We start from the raw sequence: 15,192 nt of genomic DNA, 5'->3' as shown, positions 1-15,192 counted from the left end.
AATAATATGTGAATTATATCTCAATCAAGCTGTTATTTAAAAAAAAATCTAAAAATGATGAGTTCATGTCCTTTGTAGGGACATGGATGAAATTGGAAATCATCATTCTCAGTAAACTATCGCAAGAACAAAAAACCAAACACCGCATATTCTCACTCATAGGTGGGAATTGAACAATGAGAACACATGGACACAGGAAGGGGAACATCACCCTCTGGGGACTGTTGTGGGGTGGGGAGACAGGGGAGGGATAGCATTGAGAGATATACCTAATGCTAGATGACGAGTTAGTGGGTGCAGTGCACCAGCATGGCACATGTGTACATATGTAACTAACCTGCACATTGTGCACATGTACCCTAAAACTTAAAGTATAATAAAAAAAAAATCTATGGATCTGAAAGCCAGGAGGTTTCTGGTGATGCCAGCCACAGCCATTTCAGCATGATGTAGGGGAACCGGAGAGTAGCAGGCTGAGGAGTACACTGGAGTAAGGAGAAAAGGAAGATACAAGAAGACTCAGGAGGCTCAGCTGGCCACGGAGGCAGAAGTGAGACTTGATGGAAGGGAGGTCCTTATCCTGCAAGCCCCCATAAGACACCATTGCATTCCTTAGCCTGAGATTCAGTGCCTCAAAGAAGCTGGTAAAGCTAACCCCATGGGCCTCTCCAGGCTTCTCTCTGGATGCTGTCCAGACTGGCCAGGTCAATCTTCTTGTCTATACCACTAAAACTTAGTCACTTGCAAGGGCTTACCACATCCCACCTCGTCTTGGAGCTCTTCCCTGGAGATGCCAGCTCCCACTGACCTCTCCCATCTCAGCCTGCTTTTACACTGCATACGAGAGGGCATCACCTTGCCATATTTTACAGCTTCTATATGTAACTCGCAAGCATGCAGAGGATGCAGGCATGTACACACTGCTTTCCCAGACTGTGAGGACAAGGGGACCCAGGCATGGTTCCGGCCTATGCCTATAAAGTCCCTGACTCTTATTCCCACTTGCTCAAGCAGGGACCCTGCAGCCCCGTACATGATATCCCAAGAATTTCTGGGAGCCCCAGGGGATGCTGCAGGTGACTGTTTTTTGTTTGTTTGTTTTTGTTTTTTGAGATGGAGTCTCACTCTGCAGATTGGACTGCAACAGTGCAATCTTGGCTCATTGAAACCTCCACCTCCCAGGTTCAAGTGATTCTCCTGCCTCAGCCTCCCGAGTAGCTGGGATTATAGGCATGAGGCACCGTGCCCGGCCACAATTTTTGGAACAAGTCCAAGAAGGTACCATGTCTACAGTCTTTCCTCTGCTGCTCTTCTGGTCATCCTCTGCCTCCCAGCTGAGGTGCAGGACTTGCTGGCGCTGGAGGCATTTTGTCAGAAGGGTCGCTGAGCAGCTCAGCTTGGGTGCTACTGCCTTGCCAAGTTGGTAATGAGAAAGCCCATGTTTGGGGGCCAGCTTTGTTCTTATGCTTTTTGTAGTCAGATATGAGGCCATATAAGGCTCAGCCGAGGATTTGGCCTAGTGTAGGAACTACACTGAATTCAGCCTCAAGCTGCAGCCCCTGCCACAACCTCTGATCAGTATGTTCTCTGCAGAGACCATGGGATTCCCCAACCATGGCCAGGAATCCCGGACTCACTGAGGCTGAGTTGAGGATCTGATTTAGGGAGCCTGAGATTGCCTGGGGTCTGGGACCCAGAACCTTGAGAAGTCTGCCAGACTTGATTCATTTAACATTTTCTTATACCACTGCCCTTGATCCAGGTGTGTCCAGGCTGGCCTCCTTTTGAGGAAATGATGATTGAACCTGGGTTTCTGGGAAGAGCCATGTTTTCTTTGGTGTCTACATGTATCCACTCATTCCACCTGAGCTAGAGCCAGCAAGTAAGAAGTACTTATCAATCCTTGGGTTCCAATGTTTTCAGAAGAGCACAAGTCCCATGAGGCTAGGGTTAAGGTGTGAGGAAGCCTTCTGAATACCCTATTCCCTCTTTTAAGATGCTCATTAATTAGCATATGAAATAAAAGTTTTGATAAAGCCTGGAGTATATGGTGTTTAGCTTTTTCTTTTTTTTCCTTTTTTTTTTTTTGAGACATGGTTTCACTCTGTGAGCTGAAGTGCAGTAGCACAATCATAGCTCACTGCAGCCTCAACCTGGGCCCAGGCTTAAGTGAGCCTCCCACCCCAGGCTCCTGAGTAACTGGGACCACAGATGTGCGCGGCCACACCCAGCTAATTTTTAAAATTTTTGTAGAGATTGGGTTTCACCATGTTGCCCAGGCTGGTCTCAAACTCTTGGGCTCAAGTAATCCTCCCGCCTCGGCCTCCCAAAATGCTGGGATTGCAGGCTTTCTTGAAGAGTGTTTGCCAAATACATTTGCCCCCAGGACCCTTTTTTGTTCACCCCACCCACGATCACTCAGGAGCACATTTTGGGAAATGCTCACCCCTACAATAAAGTCCAGAATCTGTAGCTGGCACTCTGGCCCCAGCCTACGAGTCTCAGCCAACCCATCTCCTCTCCTCCCAAAGGAACTCCTCTCCATATCTTAAAAGGCATAGCCCACAGCTGCCTCCACCTGCTGGGGTGCCAGTGTCCCGGGGCCACCCGTGTCCTCTCCCCACCTCCTAACCACAGCTCCTGCTTCTAACAGTGTCCTTGAGTATCCCTGGATGCCTGTCCTCCCTCATCCCCTTTTTGAGGGCATTCCTGCATCTCTGAATTGCCATCGTGAGGCCATGGAACACCACATTTGGCAACAAGCCAAGGGGACAGGCCTGGCCAATGAAGAGCTCTCGGAACCTGAGGCCCCACTCTCAGCTTCCCTACCCCGCGGGGACTCTGCCTCAGGCAGCAGAAGAGCAAGAGACAGGATTGGAGATGGAGACGGGGGTGGGGCGACAATCCAGCACCGGCACCTCCCACAGGCGGGGACCAGAGGCTGCCCTCTTCGCTGAGCCGGGCACTGGGTGAATGAATGATCAATGACAGTTCTTAGAAGCTCCCTCCTTTGCTACCCCCACCCCTCGCCCCAATCCCAGGCACATTCCCCACTAGGGAATTGGCCACATCCCAAGTCAGACACATCCTGGCTACAGCTGGCTCTGGGCCGGGCACCCCCGGGGCAGCCGGGCAGGGCGGGGTGTCCTGGAGAGCCGCGGATGGGCCTCACACCCAGGCTGGGCCAGGACACCCCGTCCTTGGCCGAGGCCCAAACCGGCTCTGTTTACAGAATCTGTCAGCTCTGTTTCCCCCTCCCCCACCCACCACTTCCCCTAGAGTCCTGGGGGCTGGGAAAGGTGCAGGCGGGGCCTGAGGGAGCTTAGGCGGCTGCCAAATCCCTGCGGCCCCATCAGCCCCTCTCCCCATCTTGGCTCCTAAGATCTATCCGCCCCAGTTCTCCAGTCTTCTGGTTTCCTCTTCAAAGCGTCGGGTGGCACTCCACCCCTGGGGAATGTGCATTTTGAGACAGATCTGGAGAAACAATCCTTACCCCCAAGGAAAATTTAGCTAACGGTGGAAAGATAGGCACCGTGCCGCCAGGGGCCCACAAGCTCGGGCTTTCTGGAACTGCTCCAGCCAGCCAGGAAGGAGACCTCCCTCCTTCCCTGGGACCCCAAGCCGATGGGCCCCTGGGAGTATTTCCAGAACTGCTGGAGGAACTTGGCGCAAGTTAGGTGTAGCCTGGCAGGCGGGCTGAGGGCTTTCGGGAGCAGCGAAGTCCGGAGATAAGGCCAACCGCTTGCAGGGCCGCCGTGACTCAGCTCCCGCCGGCCGCAAGGAAGCTCCGCGGCCCCCTCGGAGCAGGACGAGGAGGAGGGGCGATGGGCAGAGGCGGAGCCTGGGACGCCCCGCCCCCCGCTCCGGGAAGGACGACCCACCACACCCAGCTTCCCAGAGGCGCCCGGATTTCCCACGGGTTTCCCCGCTTGCTGTATATAATAACAAAGGCTGGCACTTTCTGAGCGCTCGCTCTGTGCTAGGCACTTCACAGGTCACTTGTTTGTTATCCCCAACAAGCCTCAGAAGCAGGTGCCATATGACCTCCACTTACAGACAAGGAAACAGGCTCTGAGAGGCCAAGTGACTTGCACAAGGTCACACGGCTACTGAGTGGTGGGGGCTGCAGCTTCCAAGCGCCCAGACCCCTCCTGCCCCTTCCCAGCCCCTATGTCCCGCTTTGAGAGGGGCCAGTGGGTCTCCTGGTGGTACCTTACTGGGCAAAACCAAGAACCTGGACATCTCCTGGCCTGGGAGCTAACTCAATGCAAGTATGTCATTTGGAGGCAAGTCCAGTCTGGTTTTAGGTGATGGCAAAGTTCCCAGCTCTAAGCTCCCCTTGACCTCCACTCTGAGGGAAACTCTTGGGCACAAGGATGGCCCCCTGACCCTCCTCCAGAATACTGCCCACACCAACACCCAGCCCTGCCCTCTGGAGGGATGAGTCTCCATCCAGAAAGCCCCTGGCTTGCTCACAAGTTAGCCCCTGAAACCTGCGGACTTGACAAGTGAGCAACAGCAGGCCCTCGTCGCTGCCACTGCCACTGGCTGGCCCCTGCCCATAGGTCAGTGCCAGGACAATGCTACAGAAAGCCAGTCTGAGCCCCAGGAGGGGTCAAGGAGCAAAGGGCAACCTGCACCCTAGGGCTGCTCTGCAAGGTAGTGAGCTGTCTGTCGTTTGGGGTGGGGGAGCACCTATGAAAGAAACAATTCAAAAAGAGGGGAGGATGAGATAACCTTTCAAACGCCAAACTCCTCTCTTCTATGAGGCAGGCAGTATACAAGTGAGTGGCTTATCTGACAACTGCTTAGATGGAAACTTTCCACTTTGGGAGGCCAAGGTGAGAGCGTTGCTGGAAGCCAGGAGTTTGAAACCATCCTGGGCAACAAAGCAAGACCCTGTCTCTGCAAAAAATTTAAAAATTAGCCAAGGCTGGACATGGTGGCTCACTCCTGTAATCCCAGCACTTTGGGAGGCCAAGGCAGGCAGATAACTTGAGGTCAGGAGTTTGAAACCAGCTTGGCCAACATGGTGAAACCCCATCTCTACTAAAAATACAATTAGCAGGGTGTGGTGATGCACACCTGTAATCCCAGCTGCTCCGGAGGCTGAGGCAGGAGAATTGCTTGAACCCAGGAGGCGGAGATTGCAGTGAGCCGAGATTGTGCCATGCCAGCCCGGGCAACAGAGCGAGACTCCTTCTCAAAAAAAAAAAAAAAAAAAAAAGGTAGTCGAGCATAGTGGCATGCACCAGTACTCCCAGCTACTCAGGATGCTGAGGCAGGAGGGTTGCTTGAGACCAAGAGTTTGAAGCTGCAGTGAGCTGAGAGTGCACCACTGCACTCCAGCCTGGGCGACAGAGTGAGACCCTGTCTCTAAAAATAAAATAAATAAATGAAGGAGACTCTCCCACTTCCTTCCCTTTTGACCTCTTTCTGCTGGGCCCTGTGGACTTCCTCCTGGAGACTCAGAAAACATTGGAAATAAGGGTACTCCCATGTGCCCCTGCCTCTGTTTGCCACTGTCTCAGTAACCAGTGCGTGGGCTCTGGGAGGCTCTGATTCATGGGAAGAAAGGAAGGGAGGGATGGAGGGAGGGAGGAGGAAGTCTTGAGATGAGACGCTGCTCTGTGGTTGAGTTGGTCTGACCTGGGCCCCAGTCCTAGCTCCAACCTCTTTTCCCAAATATGTGACTTTGAAAAATACCGCTTCACTCCCAGAGCTTCCATAAAATGAGAGAAATGCTTTGCTATAAATTAGATTTTTCTGCCAACCAGGATAATTCAAGAATTTCCCCTTGACATTCTCGAGATCAACCACCCTTCTGGTGAGAGTTGTTGATAGCAACCAGTGACCATGGTGGGCAAATGGTCAAATAAGTGACAGTGCCCAGTGGGCAGCCCAGCTCTACGTAGACATCATACTTGGCAGCTCTGTGTGGAGGAGGTAAGTCCCCAAGGACAGGCAAGTTTGGGTGCGAGAGGAGGGAGAGAGAAAGGGAACTGAGTAGGGGCTACAGAAGATGGGTTTCTTGCAATGGGAGGGGCTGTGGTCTGGGAATAGGGGACCTGTGTCCTGAAGATACTACTGGCCACCGCTTCTGTGTACACGGCATAGCATGAAGTGCTTCACACGCATTGTCACATTTAGCTCTGTCTGTAAGGCAGGTACTGTTATTACCCCCACTTTACAGATGCAAAAATCAAGGCTTGGAGAGGTTAAGAGATTTGCCAGTGGACGAGCCAGGCAGGCTGACTCTGGAGCCCTGTCCTGCCAGGTTCTGGTTCTGGTGCCTCGCCCTTGCCCTATCTCCTTCCCCCACGGTTGTCTTGGAGGCTGATACCCAATGGCCAGACCAATTGTGCCCAGTCCTCCAAGATCCCCACCTTTGCCTGACATGCTCTGTCTCCCCCTTCTAGCTGCCCTGTCCGGCCAGGGTAGCTTTGGTTGTGTTGGGTCTTGTGCAGAGAGAGCAGGGTTGACAGGGACTAGGATCAAGGCCCCAACTTACTGGAGACAGGATGTAGGAAAGGCCCTGTGGCTGGTGCTGTATCTTGCACAGCAAAGGAAGACCGGGAGGGTCTGTTACCCTGTTACCTGAACCCAGATCTGGTTTCAGAAGGATTGAGGAAGGTTTTAGACAGTTTTTCAGGGAAGCTGTAAGGCTGAGGCTGCCCCAGCTACAAGATGATACTGGAGGATGCCAAGGCCTTCTCAGGACCCCCACATTCTCATGTCGGAGTCGTGGTCTGGCCTGAGCCATCTCCTGGAGGATGGACTGCATTGCAGTCCTCCCAGCCTCCATGCAGTGGTACTGAGACCCCAAAGAGGGGCCCCATCCCCTTTGGTTTGAAGAGCTCCATCCCTGCCCTCTCACCTCCACTCTCAGTCGACTCTTCATCTTTCCTTGGAAACAAATCACTCCCAACTTCAAAGCATCGTAATTCCGCTCAAAGAGCAATCTCGAGAATGTCAAGGGGAAATTATTGAATTATCCTGCTTGGCAGAAAAATCTAATTTATAGCAAAGAATTTCTCCTGAAGTTTTAATAGTTTTTTTTTTCCTCCGATGGATTTTAATGCACAATTGTTTCCCAAGCTTGGAAATCTAGTTTGAAGCACTGACATCACTTTCCAGTTCTTGATTTATTGCTAGCTCTCTGCTTTTGAGCCTGGTAGGAAACCCAACATCCTATTTTCCCTTGAACTTGAGAGTACTGCACTCTCTGGTCAGCCTGTCTGACCAGGCATCAGATGGCACTGCCATCTTGTTAAGGTTGTAAAGGGAGTGCTGGAGGCCTGGCTGAACCTCCCACCATCTGCCCTCCTTGCCTGGCTCCCCAGGGCAAGCCCCCTCCTTGAGGATTTTGCTGGCGAGGAACCCCAAGGCCATGTCTATAAGGATGCTGCTGGCCTGTGGGGACCCTATGGAGCAATAACATGGCTAACCCTCCTTTGCCCACTCCCTGCCTCCCAGCCTATCAAAGTTCCTGCTACATAGTTAAGGGTTTAGCAAACAGGTGTCAGATAAAATAGGGGACGGCATAGCTGAGTGTCAGTGTCCCTGCTTGGGCCAATGACAGCTCAGGCTCCTATTAGCAATGGGATGTGTCTGTTGATGTCTTTGTCTGGGCTTTAGTCCAACAGGTTGGAATCATCTGGGCACAGCACTGGGGGCAGCAGGCAAGGGTGCTGCCAGGGGGTCTCAATTTATGGGGCAGGGTCAGCTCTGGGGAAAGGGTCTTCAGGGACTGTGGCATCAGAGAAATGCATCCCTCCATGAAAGATGAGAAACTCATTGTTTTCCTAGCTACTTTTCAAGTGTATCCGACTAGGACAATGCTTAACCAAAGCTCGCAAAGGAGACGGTGGGTTTTTGGAATGAATAACAGACAGAGAAGGGAGATATTTGGGAATAAAATAATCTTCTTTTTAGCCCTTAAAATGATGACACCCATTTTATAGATGAAGAAACTAAGGCTCAGAGAGGGGCAGAGACTCACGGAGATTTAGCAAGTGGACAAAGTGACGCTGAGACCCAGGTATTCAACTCCCTGGGGGAATCTTCTAAAAGTAGCTTGGGAGGCGATACCCAAGGCAGGGCCCAGCAAAAATCAGTCTCCTTTGGGAGAATGAGGGTCCCTCAGGCCCCAGAGGAGGCTGCCCCATCATCCAATTTTAGAACAGGCTGACAGGCCTTTGGGAGCTACTTCCTGAAGGTCACAGCTGTTCTCTGGGGGTTTCTTTTTTCCTTTTTTCTTTTCTTTTCTTTCTTTCTTTTTTTTTTTTCAGGGTCTTGCTCTGTTGCCCAGGTTAGAGTGCAGTGGCATGATCATAGCTTACTGCAGCCTCGACCTCCTGGACTCAAGTGATCCTCCTGCCTCAGCCTCCCAAGTAGCGGGGACTACAGGTGCATGCCACCACACCTGGCAAACTTTTTGATTTTTTGTAGAGATGGGGTTTTGCCATGTTGCCCAGGCTGATCTTGAACTCCTGAGCTCAAGCAATCAGCCCACCTCAGCCTCCCAAAGTGCTGGGATTACAGGCATGAGGCACTGTGCCCCCTCTGGGGGTTTCTTCTAGCAGTTCTCCCATCCCTGAACCCATCTGCCCTGGACGTTTCAGGCTCTTTCTTCCCAGAAATCCCTGCTATGGTGCCAGGTGGGAGACCTGCCTGGCCAGAGAGGGTGGTGAGTACTGGCAAGGGGGAAAGGGGCTGCACCCTTCCACTCACTGTCTCCCTCTATAACCTGTCCTTCCCCATCCCTCCCTGACCCCTCAGTGTTCAGGGAACTCGGGTTTCCTGTCACAGCATAGTACCAGGAAGAAAGAGGCAAATGGTTGGATCCCTGGGCAGCCCTAAGTGGCTCCCTGGGAGCAAAGGGCTCACCCTGGCCAGAGTCCCTATCTTGATACGGAAGTTGCGGGGAGCGGTACACCCCCAGGAGAGCCATGGCAATGGCACTCTGGGCAGAAGGGGCCTGGCAAGTGGCTTGCTCTGTTTTCCCCGGAGTGGAATGGCCAGTGGGGATGGGCCAGGACATGGGGTGGAAGGATGGCGTAAGGGAGGGACAGTGCTGGCTCAGCTGGCTTGCCCGTTGACTCACCCTCAGGAGTCTGCTGCTCTTGGCAATGGCTGAAAATGGAGATGAAGGTAACTGTGATTACGGGGAGCCCCTTGGATCCATCTTGGAGAACTCCCTATGTCTGCGACAGAGGTGATGGCTCAGGGAGGGCACTGTGCTGAATCTCACCCAGGTAGCCTGCCTAACTGGTTGCCCTCAGCCTCTCTCTCAGCACCAGGCCTTGCCCTACAACCTGCCTCAGCAGCTCCCCCCTTCTTTTCTTTCCTTTCCTTTCCTTTTCTTTTCTTTTCTCTTTTCTCTTCTCTTCTTCTCTTCTTTTCTTTCCTTCCCTCCCTCCCTCCCTCCCTCCCTCCCTCCTTCCTTCCTTCCTTCTTTCCTTTTTTTTTGAGTCGCTCTGTTGCCCAGGCTGGAGTGCAGTGGCATGATCTCAGCTCGCTGCAACCTCTGCCTCCCAGGTACAAGCGATCCTCCTGCCTCAGCCCCACTAGTAGCTGGGATTACAGGCACATGCCAACATGCCCGGCTAATTTTTGTATTTTTAGTAGAGACGGGGTTTTGCCATGTTGACCAGGCTGGTCTCGAACTCCTGACCTCAGGTGATCCACCTGCCTTGGCCTCCCAAAGTGCTGGGATTACTGGCATGAGCCACCGCGCCCAGCCCCCTTCCCGTTTTTTTTTTTTTTTTTTTTGAGACAGGGTCTCACTCTGTTGACCAGGCTGGAGTGAAGTGGTACAATCTCAGCTCACTGCAGCCTCGACCTTTCTGAGCTTAGGTGGTCCTCTCACCTGTCTCCTAAGCAGCCCCCATTTCTGCATTTGGCCATGCCTAGCCCCTGCCTGAAGTGGACACTGGACACTTTATGAGACCCCTCTCACCCCATCCAGTCCTCTGGTACAAATCTGTGACTCAGCCAGGAGGGAGTGGTTTGAGGGGAGCTCAGGGACTGTTGGGTGGGGATCAGGGACAGGAGTTTCTGTGTGACTGCAGGGGCAGAACCAGGCCTGGGGTTGAGGATACTGGAGATCTTAGTCTTATAAGGAAGGGGTCCTCACCGCTCAAGGGGCAGAAGCACAGGATGGGAGGTGTCATGGGGAGAGAGCTCCCTGCCACAGTGCTGTTCCTCTAGAGGCCTACCTGTCAAGGCTACACACACTCCTGTGTGGGAGTGAGGAAGAGCAACCAGCCATGTGAATCCACCCTGCTCCTCCAGGTTTCACGATCCCCCAAAATGCCACTGCATGGGACAACTGCCCTGCCTCCCTCTCCCGCGGAGGCTCTGTCCTAGCCAGCTGGAACCCATGTCACCTGATGCCCTTTCTAGTGCTCTTCCCATCACCCTCTGGCTAACATGTGACTGTGCCACACCTGGCTGTGAGCCAGGCCCAGGAAAGCTGAGCAGCGGGTTGGGGCACAGGAGCTTTTGTCTTTTTGGGGTAAATGGAGATGGAAACCTGAGCATGGTGGTCATCAGATCCCAGCTCCTGGCGATGGGGAGCTCAGGAGCAGCCAGGGATGAGACACTCCCCTTTGTGGTGAGGGAGGAGGCTCCAGGATGGGGCCAGTACAGCCCAACCTGACCCTCTCCAGAAAGGCAAGACGGGATCGCGATCAGGAAGCAGCCAGTGGGACCCCAGAGACATGACGAGTCAGTCTTGGGTAGGTCTGGGACCAATCTGAGGGTCCCAGATTCGTCAGCTAGATGGGCAGTTTCTAGGGGAACCTCAGCCTGTGGGTCCTCAGTCCCCACCTGCAGTTTGTCAAGATGAGGCATAGAACAGCCCAGCCCTGGAAGGAGCTGTACCTAGGCAGGGCCCCAACCAGCCCCACCCTTGGAACCATCAGCCTGGAAGACTCCAATGTCCCAGCCCTGCTGGCCAGCTGTTCTGGTCAGACTGTGGGGTCGGGGCCTCTTTCCTGGGTTTCTGAAGCCTCACCCTCTGGTGAATAATTTCTTAGAGTTTATGTGTGGCATCCAGATCAGAGGTTTTGCTCTCTACCTCCCACTTCTGTTGGAATCACGAGGAAGAGCCTATCTGGGGGCCCTGGGGGAGGCTTCTGATCCAGGAGAGGGCTCCAGAGGCAGGACAGGGGGATGTGTTTGGACCTGAAGCACTTAGGGCAAGAGGCTCCTGTACCGCGTCTGCAGCCCACGCACCCTGGCACAGGCTCACGGGGTCTGAGTCTGACAGGCACCAGAGGTTGGCTTGCTTGATAGAGGACATGCAAGAAGCATGTCTGCCACCCAGGCCTTGGCCCCCTGCCCATCCCTCATTCCCGTGGCTTCTCAGCACCAAACAGACTCAACGAAGGCAGTGTGAAATGGCCTGAGCTCACACTGCAGCTGGGAGGACAGGGTTAGACTCAAAGAACATTCTGAATATGACGGCTGTGAATGTGTAATTGGGAAGGATGGGAGAAGGAGAGCTGATCACACAGTTCTCAATAACCATGTGCCAGTGTTGTCCTTTCAACCTGTTCTTCCACTGGTCAGCTCTCAGGAAATAGTAATACCATCCATCCAGCCACCCAAGCCCCTGGGTAGTGAGTCCCTCAGCCTCATGGCCTATCCGGCACAGGCCTTGGCATCTCTTCCTCCAAAACGCCTCTGCAACCTGTCCATAACCCTCCACCTCCACCACCACCATCCAGGCCACCACCACCTCTCTCTGGACTCCAGCAGCAGCCTCTTCACTGTCTGTCTCCTCCTACCCATGCCCTCTGCTGCCCATTCTCCACCCAAAGCCAGAGTGAGCACCTCAAAATGCAAGTCAGAGGGTCTCTCTCCTGCTGAAAACCCTTCAGGGTGGCTGTGGTCCACCTTGGGTAAAGGTTCCGCCCCATCTGCCTCTAGCCCCAGCTCTTGCCACCTCAACCACATCACTTAGCCACAGTGACCTCTTCTTGTGTGCCCCTAGCTTCTGCATTGGGACTCGCCCATCTCTCTGGCCTCTTGACTGTCACTCATCTTTTTTTTCCCCCCTTTTTGAGACCAGGTCTCTCTCTGTCACTCAGGCTGGAGTGCAGTGGCACAATCTCGGCTCACTGCAACCTCTGCCTCCCGGGTTCAAGCGGTTCTCCTGCCTCAGCCTCCCAAGTAGCTAGGATTACAGGCGCCCGCCATCATGCCCAGCTAACTTTTGTATTTTTTTTTATTATACTTTAAGTTCTAGGGTACACATGCACAAAGTGCAGGTTTGTTACATATGTATACATGTGCCATGTTGGTGTGCTGCACCCATTAACTCGTCATTTACATTAGGTATATCTCCTAATGCTATCCCTCCCCCCTCCCTAACTTTTGTATTTTTAGTAGAGATGGAGTTTCACCATGTTGGCCAGACTGGTCTCAAACTCCTGACCTCAGGTGATCTGCCTGCCTCAGCCTCCCAAAGTGCTGGGATTACAGGCGTGAGCCACCGCACCTGGCCATTACTCATCCTGTAAGATGAGGAAGACTGCCCTGATCTACCCCCTTCAAGGTTCTGAAAAGCCCCTCTGAACCTGAATTCAGCCCCCTAGCACCTGTCATTTCTTACTACCAGTTTCTTTATTAAGTCTTCCCACTGGACTGATAGTCACAATCGAGACAATACACATAGAACAGACAAGTGAAATGACCACAGCCCATCGTCACTGTCATCACCATCATTATCATCATCATCATCATCACTGCTAACTCTTACTCAGCACGTTTTATATGCCTGGTTCTCTTCTAAGCATTTCACGTGGTTTAAATCATTTAATCTTCATGAAAACCCTATGAGGTCAGATTTTTCTTCAATTCTAAGATGCTCCATAGGGGTTCAGTGGAGCTTGAAGTGGACAAGAAGGCTTTGTGGTGGGGGTAGGAGTGGAGCTGGGGCACGAGGGATGAGGAGCCACAGGCAGATGGAATTGGGAGAAGTATTCTAGGCCAGTATGAAGAATAACCCTAACAATAATGATAATAATATATTGAGCACTTACTATGTACCCTTCGCTGTGCTTGAGAATCTTATATTTATTATCATATTGGGTGCCTGCAGCAACCTTAAGAGGTGCACATCAATAGCCATGTCTTTTTTTTTTTTTGAGAAAAAAAAGGCTGCAGTGCAGTGGTGCAGTCATGGCTCACTGCAGCCTCCAGCTTCCAGGCTCAAGTGATCCTTCCACCTCAGACTCCCAAGCAGCTGAGACTACAGTCATGCACCACCATGTCCAGCTTATTTTTTTTTTTTTTAACATTTTTTACAGAGGTGGAGTCTCACTTTGTTGCCCAGGCTGGTCTCAGACTCCTGGGTTCAAGCTCTCCTCCTGCCTCGGCCTCCCACAGTGCTGGGATTACAAGCATGAGCCACCACCCCTGGCTAATAGCCCTGTCTTAAAGACAAGGAGATACCTGTAGTCCTAGCTACTTGGGAGGCTGAGACACAAGAATTGCTTGAACCCAGGAGGCAGAGGTTGCAATGAGCAGAGATCGCGCCACTGCACCCCAGCCTGGGCAACAGAGAGATTCCATCTCAAAAAAAAAAAGACAAGGAGATTGAGCATTGACTGTTGGCTTCTCCAGGGCTGGCAAGGAGCAGAAACTGATCCTGGGGTCAGCAGAAACTAACCCCAGAGAGGTTTCAGTCCCTGGAGGAAAGAGCCTGGAGTGAGGAGAGCAGGACTGTTGGAGCAGGGAGTAGACATCTGGACATGCTCTGAGGGAGAGCAGTGAGGGCTGGAGGTCCCATCCTGGAAGAAGTGGGAGAGGACCAGAGCTGGGCTTTGAAGGATGAGCAGGGGTTAGAGAGAGAAAAAGAAGTGGTGGTTGGTGTTGCGGGGAGGTAGATAATCCCAGAACTGTTGGTGGCCCCCGCTTCTCCCCAGCACCCCCACTATCTCCCAGCGCCCTGAGTAAGCTCCCTCTGAAGAACATTTATGGATTGGAGCTCCTCACCCCCATGCAACTTTTTGTGTGTGGGAAAATATGCAAAACATAAAATGTATCCTTTTAATCATTTTTAAGGGTACAGTTTAGTCACATCAAGAACATTCGCATTGTTGTGCAACCGTCTCCACCATCCATCTCCACAACTTTTTTTTTATTTTTATTTTTTTGAGACAGAGTCTCCTTCTGTCGCCCAGGCTGGAATGCAGTGGCGCGATCTTGGCTCACTGCAACCTCCCCCTCCAGGGTTCAAGTGATTCTCCTGCCTCAGCCTCCACAGTAGCTGGGATTACAGGTTTACGCCACCATGCCCGACTAATTTTTTGTATTTTTAGTAGGTAGGGGGTTTCATCTTGTTGAACAGACTGGTCTCGAAGTCCTGACCTCACGTGATCTGCCTGCCTCGGCCTCCCAAAGTGCTGGGATTACAGGCATGAACCACTACGTCTGGCCTTCTCGACAACTTTATCATCATCCCAAATGGAAACTCTAGTCATTAAACACTAACTCCTTATTCTCCTCTTCCCCTACTCCCGGTAACCATCCTTCTACTTTCTGTCTCTATAAATTTGACTACTGTAGATACTGCATATCAGTGGGATCATACAGTATGTGTTCTTTTGTGACTGGCTTCTTTAATTTAGCATAATGTCCTCAAGCTTCCTCCATGTGCGTGTGTCAGAATTTCGTTCCCTTTTTAAGGCCAAATAATACTCCACTGCATGCATTTTGTTTATCCATTCATCCATTGATGGACATTTGGGTTGTTTCCTCCTTTTTGTCATTGTGAATAATGCTGCTATGAACATGGGTGTACAGATATCTGTTTGAGTCACTGTTTTCAATTCTTCTAGCTCTAAGCCACAAGTGGAATTGCTGGGTCCCTTTATGTTTAATTTTTTTGAGGACCCACCATACTTTCTTCCACAGTGGCTGCACTGTGCATTCTACATTCCTACCAGCAATGCACAAGGGTTCCAGTTTCCCCACATCCTTGCCAACGCTTATTTCCTTCTCCCTTTGTCTCTTTTTTTTTTTTTTTTTGAGACGGAGTCTTGCTCTGTTGCCCAGGCTGGAGTGCAGTGGCGCGATCTCTGCTCACTGCAAGCTCTGCCTCCCGGGTTCACGCCATTCTCCTGCCTCAGCCTCCTGAGTGGCTGGGACTATGGGTGCCCACCACCACCCCCGGCTAAT

This window comes from Homo sapiens, chromosome 5 (genome assembly GCF_000001405.40).
Source record: "Homo sapiens chromosome 5, GRCh38.p14 Primary Assembly".
NCBI classification, from domain to species: domain Eukaryota; kingdom Metazoa; phylum Chordata; class Mammalia; order Primates; family Hominidae; genus Homo; species Homo sapiens.
This window is presented reverse-complemented; position numbering follows the sequence as displayed.